The sequence below is a fragment of the Homo sapiens genome, chromosome X (assembly GCF_000001405.40).
Source record: "Homo sapiens chromosome X, GRCh38.p14 Primary Assembly".
Taxonomy (NCBI): Eukaryota; Metazoa; Chordata; class Mammalia; order Primates; family Hominidae; genus Homo; species Homo sapiens.
The window spans coordinates 21,704,792-21,717,835 of record NC_000023.11 but is presented as its reverse complement, the minus strand read 5'-3'; the positions used below and the strand labels follow the sequence as shown (position 1 = coordinate 21,717,835).

The following is a 13,044-nucleotide window of genomic DNA, read 5'->3' as shown; positions in this document are numbered from 1 at the left end:
CTCCTACCCATCATTCAAGTCTCAGTTAAATACTATTTTTGAAAAACTTTTCTGTTGCCTCTTAAACTGGGCAAAGCATCCATGGCTTCCTGTGTTTGTCCCAGGATAGCAGCACCCATCACAATGGAGGACTGGATTGCCATTGTTTATTCTGTCTGATTTTCCTTCTAGATCTTAAGTTCCATGAAGGGGGATAACTTGTCTGACTTGTCCACTAGTGTATCCACAGTGCCTAATACATTTTCTAGCATATAATGTAGGCCATATAAAACTAGGAATTCTGCTTTCCACTTTTAAGACCATTTAAGCATATTTAAGCACAGAGCTGTGTCCAAAAGAAACATACATTGATTTCTAAAAATGGCCCCTGTATTAGTCTGTTCTTACGCTGTTAATAAAGACATATTTGAGACTGGGTAATTTATAAAGGAAAGAGGTTTGACTCACAGTTCAGCATGGCTGGGATGGCCTCAGGAAACTTTCAATTATGGTGGAAGGGCAAGCAAACACATCCTTCTTCACATGATGCAGGAAGGAGAAGTGTCAAGCAAAAGGGGGAAAAGCCCCTTATAAAACTATCAGATCTCATGAGAACTCACTCTCACGAGAACAGCATGAGGATAACCATTCCCATGATTAAATTACCTCCCACCAGGTCCCTCCCACGACATGTGGGGATTATGGGAACTACAATTCAAGATGAGATTTGGGTGGGGGCACAGCCAAACCATATCAGCCCCCAGAAGGAATGTAAATCTTCACCTAAGAAAGATTTATATTGTAAACAGGTACAGCGTACACTCTTTTGGTGATGGTTACACTAAAAGCACAGACTTCACTTCTATGCAATGTATCCATGTGACAAAACTGCATTTGTACTCCTTAAATTTATACAAATAAAATAAAAAAGAAAAAAAGATTTACATTGTAAAACACAGTAAAACTACCTAAAAATCTTCTCATTGGCCCAAGATTCCCTCATCCTAGAGACGTTTTACCTCAAATCTCTCTTCTTTCTTTCCAAGAAATCCTATTTTCCACTGAGTCCCCAAGCCCCTTTTCCATGTAATTTAGACTCAGTTCACTTTTTTCAGTTCCCTCTCTGCATATTTAGATCTCCCCGACCATCAGCACCACAAAGAGCTTGAAGCCAAGATGACAAAGATTGAATCTTGTTTGGAAGATAGAAAAGGAGGAAGGGATGTTTTAATTTATAAGCTTTTTGTGGATCTTTGTCCCTGAATAATAGTAATAGTATATGTTGACTATGTCAGAGGCACTCTGCTAAATGCTTTACCATGTTATCCTCCCAACCACCCTGTGAATTTGACAATATTATTTCCCTATCCTTAGGAACACTGGGGTTCACGTTGTTGGGTAAGTTGCCCAAGGTAGCATAAGTGGAAAGCAGGAAAGCTGGGTTTGAAGGCAGAGTGGGCTGTGAAAATGTCTCCACAGTGGACACTCAGGAAACATTTGTTGATTGCAGAGACAGGGTCCCACCTTGGAACCAGCCTGGAGACTGGCAAGGCAAAGGGTGTAAAAGCAATTTCTCTGATGAATTGATTGGAAACACATGTCAAAGCTTTATTTCAAAGTTGCTTAAAGAGGCTTCAAAAATCCAGTTCTAAAACTTGGAATAGGAAAACATGTGGTTAGATAACACTGTGAGACGAGGTATAAGTGATCAGTAAACTCTGTTACAAGGTGACTTTAGTGAGGCAGGTATATCAGATCTCCCAGAAGGGGCTCTTAATCTCATTGAAGTTGATTAGAAAATTACTAATATGTTTTATCAGCAATACTTCCCAGAAGGGACCACTTAACACACCAGTGCACAAAGCTCTGTTCTAGCTCAGGTTTGAGATCATTTTCTTTCATCAGAAACAGCTGTCTCTAAACCAGCATTTGTTTTTTTCCACCTCAGCACTATTGACAATTGGGCCAGGCAACTCTGTTACTGGGGCCGTTCTGGGCATTCTAGGATAGTTAGCAGCATCCCTGGCCTCTACTCACCAAATGCCAGTAGTACCCTCTCCTTCCTGATTGTAATAACCAAAAAATGTCTTCACATAGTGCCAAATGCCCACCACGGGGTGGGGGGCAAAAATCATTCTCTCCCTCTATTGAAAACTACTAGTTTAGAAACTTCATTTTCAAGTGGTCCATGGACCAATAGCAACAGCATCCCCTGGGTAGTTACTAGATATATGTGGTCTCAGGCCTCTCCCCAGACCTCCTGAGTCAGAATCTGCAGTTTAACAGGATCCCCAGGGATTCATATGGATGTTAAATACTGAGAAGCCCTCCTAGGCTGTGGTTCTCAATCTTGTCTGCACATCAGAGACCTGGGGAGCTTTACAAATTACTGATCGCACTTCCAGAGACTCTGATGTAATTGGTTTGGGGCAGCCTGGGCTTTGGGATGGTTAAAAAAACTCCCTCCAGGAGATTTAATGTGCAGCCACGTTTGAACACCCATTCTAGGTGGTTTAACCCCCCACCAGCGCGCGAGCGCGCGCGCGTGCGCGCACACACACACACACACACACACACACACACACACACACACAGAGCAGAGTGAGTTACAACAGCCTATAAACAAGATCTCAAATCTCCAAATCAATTATGCTTTCTTCCTTTCCATAAACATCCTTCTTTATTTGACCTCTTATCTCTTTTAACATTATAAAATTAAATCATTTGATGATAGCTTCAAAAGGTAAGATTTGGATATAAGTAGCTTTTAAAATAATAGTTGGAATGATTTAGAGGAAAAAATGAAGGCATTGATTTAAACTTCCCCCGGCAGCTTTTTAAAGAAGAGCCATCAAAATCATCCCTCAAATTCTCAATAATTAAAAAAAAGGTACTTGAAAAAACAAACAAACAAACATTAAATAGCAAACTCTATCAAGAAAATTGTTTTGCATGAAATGTATAATTATGTAAAGAGCCCATGTAAATTGGAAAGCAAAATGCTAACACCTTAATAGACAAAGGAAATGAACTCACAATTCACAAAAGTGGATGTATAATTGGTAGAGAAGCCTAAGAAAATATGCAGCTTCAGTAGAAATCAAAGGAATGTTCAAGAAAACAGTTACTGATTTTCGTTTAAGAAAATCCACAAAGATGAATAGGAAAGTGATCGTGAAAAAGACATATGCACAATCTCAAAAAATATTAAGTATCTTCTGTATAGCAGGCACACAGCAGTATAAATGATGAGGGTGGGGGGGTTAATAAATGGAGAAATTCCCAGTCACTGTGGATTTGTATCTCTTCCAACCCAGTTGTGTCTTGATGGAAGTCCATTCTAAAGAAAATGTTCACATGGAAAAGGTTGTGTTCATTTATGGTAGCAAAATTGATTAAGAACCTAAATGTCCAATAATAGGATTCCAATTAAGCAAACTCTGGTGCAGCCACCTGATGAAATACTATGGATACTATTTGTGATATAATGAATGATAAATAATTTATACAGTATAAAACTGGAAAAATGCTTCAATGATTGAGTAAATTTTGAAAATGATACAATGGTCCTGGTCCCCACACCTAACACACACACTATATATTTGTATATTTAAAGTTCCAAGGAGCCCTTAAACTAAGAAGGTGGTTTATCTTTGCTTAACCCAGTATTTCTCAACTTATCTCATGATTGATGGTTTCCTTTTCCCCCCTTTTCCTCTCCCTTTCTTTTCAAAGGAAAACTTGTTTTATTATCTCTTGAAACTAGTATTTCTCAAATGAACAAAACCCTGTGGATTTGTTGGTTTATACAGTAGTATTTAAGAGCTATGTAAAAATAAAGGCCTTACATGGATATATACATGGTAAAAAAATTCATCAAGTTCACTTAAGATTTGTGCATTTTACTCTATATAAAGTATTTTTAGAAACACTGCTAGATTCTGAGAAGGCAAGACATATTTTTAAGTGAAATTTTGGTGTTCATTAGAACAAATGCATGAATATTTGTTAAGTAAACTTTTTGGTACACTACAGGTATATTTCTGTGTATCAGTTGTTAATGTGTGCCTCTAATGTACTGTCAATGTGTACAGATTACTTATTGATATGGTTTGGTTGTGTCCCTACCCAAATCTTGAATTGTAGCTCCCATAATTCACATGTGTCATGGGAGGGACCCAGTGGGAGATAATCGAATCATGGGGGCGGGTCTTTCTCATGTTGTTCTCGTGATAGTGAATAAGTCTCATGAGATCTCATGGTTTGATAAAGGGGAGTTCCCCTGCACATGCTCTCTCTTGCTTGCTTGATGCCATGTAAGACATGACTTTGCTCCTCCTTTGCCTTCCACCATGATTGTGAGGCCTCCCCAGCCATGTGGAACTGTGAGTCCATCAAACCTCTTTTTCTTTATAAATTACACAGTCTTGAGTATGTCTTTATTAGCAGTGTGAGAACAGACTAATACATGTATGCTAATTTTACAAGTTTTGCAAAAGAATTTAGTGTAGCAGAAAGAGCTCCAAACCTCATCCTGGATCAGCCGATAGCTAGCTGTGTGATCCTGGACAAGTGACTCAACCCCTCTGGATCTGAATTTCCTAATTTCTAAAATGAGGAGCAATACCAAAACTCTAGTTCCATTCGTCTTTGAAAAAGTTTTACTATTTTAAAAGATTATAAAGCCTTATAGTCATATCTTTGCCTCATAATACATCAAAGGCCATCCTTTTATCTGACTACTGAGTCTTTGGACCACTCATTACCATCATTGTGACTGTGAAAACAATCAATCAATCAGCTTTAAGGTGATCACTATGACAATGTGCTTTCCAGGTATGCATTATGGGAAGAAGGCAGGGAGGCCTACATTTGTTTCACATGTTCTGTTAGTTAAATGCCAAAAAAATTAGTTTTCCATTTGGTTGCTCCAGAACCCCTGGCTGCCACAGATCATTGCTGGACAGTTGTAGGAGGATTCTTGGTACTTCTGATACAATCACCATTGTCTCTATGCCTTGAATGCCAAGGCATAAACAATATAGAAAGATGTTGTCATCTTTGGAAAAGCTGAGAACCTCTTGGTTAAGACAGCAGTCTCCTTGACTTATTTATCACTTTGTCTACTTCTAGATGTTATTGAACTCTGCCTTGGTAGGGAAATCTTGGGTCAATATTTCTCCAATGAAGTCGGTGGCCCCTTTAGAGACAGGGAGGACTGGGTTCTGATGGATGAAGAGAAATTTCCCACAAAATCTGGAGCTGCCTGTGGTGACTGGTCTTTGATGATGCCCCTTTCCCCACCAAGATCTCACCAAACAAATGTATCTCAGTTGCCAGCCCCTAACTCTGAGTTGATATCCAATATAACAAACTCTCAATACAATAGGATTAATAAAAAATATTTTAATGAGATTCAACCTGGATATGCAATTTGCCTTTTCCTTATGGTCACTCGAATTATCCCGGTCCTGCACTTAACGCTACTTTAATCTGGATTTCAGGTGCAGGATTTGACCAAGGCAAATGTTCTGGTCTTTATGTCTTCCTCTTCTTCCGTTTTTATATAATTATTGTTAGAAGGATTTCAATTTTCATTTTAACCACCGAAGGCTTCATGAGTTGCAAAGGCAACTTTGGTGGATGTTTCACAATTTAGGAAAAAATGTTCCTAATTTTTACTTAGAGTTTTGTTTCTCTGACTTTACAAGTATCTGTTTGGGAAAAAAGAAAGAGTTTTGGGTTTGGAGTTGTTTGGGTGCAATTCTAGGCTGAGCGCCTCTCTGAGCTTGGGTGTGTGTTGTTCCTTACAAGCCTTAGTTGTAGCTTGCACCACCTTCCTTAGGGTGTGGTCCTGATGAGTAAAAGGGACAATATGTGTGAATGTGCTCTGTAAACTCTAGAAGACTTTACAAATGCCAGGCGTTTGTCTTATTTCTGATGCCCTCTAAGGAACTCCAGAGCTTTAACCAGTTTGCTCTGGGTGCATGGTTGGCCATTGCATATGGAACCAGACCATGAGCCACTGCCTTCTCTCAAGTACTTTCGAGTGTCACTGTGTTTATGGCTCTATGATTTAGCACCACATAGGAGGAAGTAATCATTGCACTGCCCCTGAGTGTCTGGTTAAAGGACAAAATGCAGACAAGTGTTGAGTGGACTCCATTTCCCACATGATGTAAGTGGGGCCACGGCAACTATGAGTTACACAGCTATAAATGGGTCACAGCAAGGCGTAAACATCACATGTTCCTCAGTCTGGACTTAGGGTGACACAAGGGAGATATTTGGTGTATCATCCCCACACCAGCCAAGATGTGCCCTTCCCAAATGTAAACTAGAGGTTTTGCTTCCATGTCATTTTTGGTCTGGGTATAAAAGTTACGTGGGGTAGCTAGAGAATGACTTTTCAGCTGGTTGCCATACCTTCCCCATCATTCTCACAAATGTCCCCATACAGGAGAACAGGGCACAGGAGAATAGCTGACAGCTGTTGTCTAGGCAGCAAAGCAGCGTGGCCCTGGAGACAGCCCAATACACTTGCATTCCAACACCCTGACAAACAAGAGTGCTTTACAGAGTGGGCAATTTTAGCTCTGGATCCCTTCCCATTGTTTCTCATTTCTAAATTCAAGCCCTGACACAGAGCAGGGAGCTCAGGTATCTGGATTCCCGAATTTTTGTATTCTGGTATCATGCCAGCATCCCGAGCACATGCTGAGTCCCACAAAGCCAAGGATGGAGACTCTGGCCGTCTGGGGACTTTGTACTCTGGGATGGACTATATCTGACGTTATCCATCAGTGCATTCCTGTTTCCAGGCATGTTGGGCCTTCTTGAATTCTACCGGGACCCGGGAGTGGGGGAAGCTGAGGGACAGGGTGATCTGCAGGAGGACACCTGCAATGGCTCCTGCTTCATCTGCCACCTCATGCCTGGCTCCTTCTGCAAAGAAGAATCAGGTTTATTTTGTAGGCTGAACAAGGTAGCTGTGTAATCAGTTGGTGGAGTTCCTGGCACGTAGTAGGTGCTCAAAACTGGTACTGCCACCATCAGCTGTTTCTCCACTCCCACATGAGCACAGGTTGATAGCACTGGCCCAGCTTCCCCCTCTTCACAGTTGTATTCAGGCCTCCCTTGGCTCTCAGCTGCAGTAAGTAAAGAGGAAGAGCACAGTTCCCCTGGGGCTAATGTTATGTTAAGAATTCCATGCATTTATTTTCCTAAATATGGTCATCTCACAGTGGTCGTGGTGGTCTGGGAAAACTGGATCAAGATTTCTCTGTTTTTAAAAAAAATTTTATTTTCATAGCTTTTGGGGTACAAGTGGATTTTTTGTAACACAGATGAATTGTATAGTGATGAATTCTGAGATTTTAGTGCCCCCGTCACCTGAGTAGTGTCCATTGTACCTAATATGTTGTTTTTATCCCTAGCTCCTCTCCCACCCTTCCCCTTCTGAGGCTCTAAAGTCCATTATATCACTCTGTATACCTTTGCATACTCATAGTTTAGCTTCACTTATGAGAACATACAATTTTTTGTTTTCCACTCCTGTGTTACTTCACTTAGAATAATGACCTTCAGCTCCATCCAAGTTGCTGCAAAAGACATTATTTCATTCCTTTTTATAGATGAGTAGTATTTCATGGGGTATATATACCACATTTTCTTTATCCATTCATTAGTTCTCTATGTTTATAAAACTGTCTCAAAGTCAGAGAGGCCTATAAGCTGAACCCAGTCGTGAAGGACATCTTATGACTCTCCAATGCAAATGGCTCATCCTATGTTTCTCAGTATAGCCATAATTTCACCTATCTATCTGGGACAGATAAAGGATTATCAGAGTCCATATCAAGTCTGCCATATAAATGGTACCCATTTCTGGGTTGCAGATGGTGCTTCTCAGTCTGGACACATCTTGGAGAGAAATCACACCTCATAAAACATGCTTCAGTTACAATTTCCTATGGATCATCACCCATTCCATGCTGCTCAGAGAAGCCCAAGGAATACCTCAGCTTCAAGGGAAGCTTGTCATGGGCCTCTTACTTAGCCAGAGAGACTGGCCATATGTCATCCAGCACAGTGACCATAGCAGTAAAGTGGCTACAGCATACCCTGGCCATCATGGGGCTAGAGCTGGGACCTAGGGCAGAATTGGCAGCATAGTGGAGACATAGCACATCAACCCAACACTCCTGGATTTCTGCATCTATGAGCCTTCACTCATTACTGCTGACTCACATTGAAGAATGTGGGTTTGGCTATAACTGCAACTCCAGTTCTTTTCCTATTTTCATTTCTCCAGTAGTCCAACTCATCAATCACTGGACCCCTGCTATGTGTCAGGTGCCATGATAGGCAATGGGATGTAAAAATGAATAGGACATATTTATATCCTTAAAAGATCCTAGCCTAGTGGCAGGGCAGCTATAGTGGGAAACATGAGGAGTGAGATGATGCATATAAGCAAATAATCACAATTCAGCATGTTACATGGAGAATCATGGGGAGGTTGGATTTAAAAGTTATAACCAAAGAGGCGAGGCCCAAAGGCTCTTGTCATTACAGGAGCAAAAAGTGGTCTAGTGAACTCAGAATATAGGATACTTGAGGGAGAATGACCAGAGATGAGCCTGGATCCTGATACCCCAGGATGAAGCTGTGAAATTGCTGGTCACTCAGAAACCATGGGCTGGGAAGGAAGTGGTATCTTACTTCCACTTTGTGACTGGCATGGACTGAAAATTGATAATTTCTTAAAAAAATTAGTAAACAACCTAAACGTCCATTGGTAGATGTATGAATAAAGAAAATGTGGTAACACACACACTGGAATTTTTATCCTGGAATAAGAAGGAAACTCTGCAATATGTGACAACATGGATAAACTTTGAGGACAGTATGCAAAGTAAAATAAGTCAGTCACACAAGGACAAATACTGCATGATTCCACTTATATGAGGTGGCTAAAGTAGTTAAACACATAGAATCAAAGAGTGAAGTGGTAGTTGTACAACATTGCTGTACAACATTGTACTTATGGTCAACAATAATGTATTATACACTTAAAATGTATTAAGAGAGTAAATCTCATATTGTGTTCTTTTGATAATAAGATAAAATGCTGGGGAAATACAAGAACCTATGCTGACTGCTCTTGATAGCATTTTCAGTTTTGCAATCATTAATAACTTCCTACCTTTTCCTCTGGTTCACAAACCATCCATACCTTGTTAGTGGAGTAGAAACAGCCCTAAAGTCGGGACACCTCTGTTAAAATCCCAGCTTTTCTATCTACCAGCTATGAGACTTTGAGCTAGCTACTTTGATTTTTGAACTTCTATGTATTTCATCTCAACAGTGAGTACAACACAACCTGCATCACAGCAATGCTAGAAATGTTCAATGACACTATGGGCTTTGTGATCTCTAAAGAAATATACAAGAAAGAGAAGCTTTCTTATAGAGAGATCTCTGCTATATACTTCTCTGGATTCAATGGCCAGAACTGGGTCCCATGGCTCCCCCTAGCTGTAAGAGAGACTGAGAAATAGAGTATATTATTTCACTCACCAGCCTTTGTAGTAGAGAAAAACAAGGGTTATGGAGGGTGCCAAACCAGAGTTTCTGCCCCAGCAGGGGGAATATCCTTGTGTATGTAGTTTTCTTTCTCCAGCCATTGGCAATACAAAAGGTGAGCATTCCATTTTTAAGAAAAGATTCAGCTCACTCACATAAGTAAAACACACAAGGAATGACACCAAAGACTAATGGAAAACAAATGTGTAAATAGTGTTCAAGAATCCCTGCATTACAAGAGCTTTGAAAAGAAGTGGCACCATATCAATTAGCTATTGCTGCATACCAAATCACACCCCAAATTCAATGTTTAAAACAAGATCATTTCTTATTCTAACTCATGTGTTTTGGCCTCAGCTGATATAGGTTGGGCTCAGCTGATCTTGGCTGGACTCACTGATGTGTCTGCAGGTCATCTGGGGGCTCTGCTCTACATGGGGCCTGGTTAGGGTGCTTTAGCGGGGGTGGCCCTGCTCCACATATTTCTTGTCCTTCTTCTGGGATCAGAAGGCTAACCTGGCCACACCCTTGTTATGGCAACAGCAGAAATACAAGAGTAAGCAAAAACGTGATACCTTTTGAGGCATAGGCTCAAAACTGGTACACCATCATTTCTGCCTCATTCTGTTGGCCAAAGCAAGATGTGTGGCCAAACTCAGGCATGAGGAATTATACCCCACCCACAGTGGTAGAAAACTACAAAGTTACATGGTAGTAGGGAGAGGTGAAGAACAGGAGCCATGAATGCAAATTTACCTCAGGGATCACTGGTCATACAAGCCATAATCATAAGACTAACAATATACTCTAATCCTTCAGGAGAAGCTATCTTAATTTAGTTTAGAATTACTTAAATCACTAGAGCCAAAGTTGATGGCCACAGCATCTACCCATAGTTCATTTACATTCATGGAATTGAGAGATGAAGTTTTCAAGTGAAAATGGGGTCTTCAATGTTGACTTATTCCTATCATATTGATTTATAAGCTGTCCCTAACATATCTCATGAAAATTATACTAATGATGAACCTGGAGGACATTATGCTAAGTCAAATAAGACAGTCATAGACAAATATGGCATGATCTTACTTATATGTGGCATCTAAAAACATTAAACTCATAGAGGCAGAGAGTCAAATGGTGGTTGCCAGGGGCTTGGGGTGGGGGGTGATGTGGATGGGGCGATGATGGTTAAAGAATAGACCGAATTTCAGATACATAAGAGGAATATATTCTGGAGATCTCGTATTAGTCCGTTCTCGTGCTGCTATGAAGAAATGTCTGAGACTGGGTAACTTATAAAGGAAAGAGTTTTAATTGACTCACAATTCTGCAGGGCTGGGAAGGCCTCAGAAACTTACAATCATGGCAGAAGGGGAAGCAAACACGTCCTTCTTTACATGGCAGCAGCAAAGAGAAGTGCAGAGCAAAACGGGGGAAAGCCATTATAAAATCATGAGATCTCATGAGAACTCACTCACTATCATGAGAATAGTATGGGGGGAACCGCCCTCGTGATGAAATTATCTCCATCTGGCCCCACCCTTGACATGTGGGGATTATTACAATTCAAGATGAGATTTTGGATGGGGACACAGCCAAACCATATCGGATCTATTGTACAGCATCATGACTACAGTTAATAATGTATCCTTGAAAATTGCTAAGAGATCTTAAATGTCCTCATCACAAAAATAAGTATGTGAGGTGATGGATATGCTAATTATGTTGACTTAATCATTTCACAATGTATGTATGCATATATCAAAACATTGCATTGTATACTGTAAATATATACCATTTTTATTTGTCAATTATGCCTTAATGACACTGGAGGCAAAAAACTCATGGTTCCTTTGGTTTTTCTTTTTCAGGATTGATGTGAAGAAATAAAGAGGCAGAAGATGGATTCAATAGCTCACTAAAATTTTATATATTTGTATGATGATTGTGAACCTCCTGAATGCCTGAGACTCTAGCAGAAATGGCCTGTTTGTACATTTATATCTCTTCCTTCTAGTTGGCTGTATTTCTTACTTTATCTTCATTTTTGGCACCTCACAGAACAAATTAGCCCATAAATTCAACACCTGGAGGGTGTGGTTTTGAGGAGGGATATGATTTTATGGAGAATGATATGGCAATGTGCCTAACGATTTTGATGAAAAGTTTCCCAAGCTACTTCCTACAGTATTTTGGTCAATATTTGGAATGCGTTTTAGTTCTTCACCTTTTAAATTATGTCACTAAACTTTGTATGAGTTCAAATAAATATTTGACTAAATGTAAAATGTGAATCTAGACTAAATTAATTTTTATATTTCAGATAGCTACATATCCCCAAACCTGGAGAGAAATGAGATATGAGTCAGCTGAAACCCATATTGCCTAAGTGGGGGCCTCTCATTCTGAATTATTGAGTACCATGGGTAAAATCATGGCTGACTGATCACTCATATGAAGTTAAATATCACCTGAGGAATTGGATATCATTGATATTCTTCCTCCAAGGATGAGGAGTTTTACAGTGAGTGCATTTTACATCTACAGAGGCCAGATGGAATACAGTTCATTATAAGTTAGAAACTCCCCTCACCCAGATGGAATAGAGTTCATTATAAGGCACAATGAAGTAAAGCTGAGCAAACAGAACAAGAGAGGAGAAGAGCCATCCAAAGATGAAACATGTCTCCTGCTGCTAAAATGGAGAGTCTCTATGTCAACTGAATCAATGTCCAACACTATCATAGACCAAACAGAATCACCTGGGCTCCTCTAGCATCTTATGATCTTCTGAAAGGCTCGGGCAACTTCACAGTGTGAAGATTTGAGGGACAAGGTTATCAAGAGCACACTGTTTGAAAAGCAAGCATGTCACTTACCTGGTATGCAGAGACCTCACATCGTTTCTCGGGCTGAGTGACTTTGATCCTTGCTTCAGAGCCAACCATTGTAAAAAATCAGATGTACTTTGAAATATCCCAAGTGTAAATTACTCTCCCGCTTTTCTGTTTCATAGAGATCAGCTTCCAAAAGCAGGGCTATCATTGCCTACACCTGTGACTGGCCACAGAGTCAGCAGTGCCTGATGAGTTTAAGTTTTCCCGAAAAGGTGCCTGTCTGGTCATAGGTCCCACGTGTTTCACCAGACTATGATTTATCTGGTCATCTACATCTAATATATACATATGGCATGGGGAATATCAATCAGAACAAAATATGCCAGCCTAATAATCTGTCAGCAGACGAGGTAAACAGGTCCTAAATAGGCGCTAGATTGCCTCAGACTGTCTCACTCTATACTGATTAGAGTAGTTGGGTGGGGTTACCAAATTTGCTTCAGTGTTCACTTTGTTTTAATGTAAATTATCTATGTTCAGTTTCAAAATTAAGTTCTGATATAATGTTATAAAAATTGTCTTCAAATTTTAATGTCTTCCAAGGCAAATTTGCAGCACAATACATACCAAAGTCATT

At 40.1% G+C, this 13,044-nt stretch overlaps 1 protein-coding gene across 3 annotated transcripts in view; it reads left to right on the top strand.

The window, feature by feature from the left end:
* SMPX (small muscle protein X-linked) overlaps positions 1-11,858 on the top strand; it is a 52,139-nt gene extending 40,281 nt beyond the window's left edge. For 2 of the 3 annotated variants that reach the window (NR_045617.2, NM_014332.3), the window contains one exon: positions 11,442-11,858. The gene's annotated coding sequence lies outside the window, so the exon portion shown is untranslated. Of the gene's footprint in view, positions 1-7,137; positions 7,151-11,441 lie in introns of those variants that run through there. The other variant, XM_047441939.1, reaches the window with a different exon arrangement.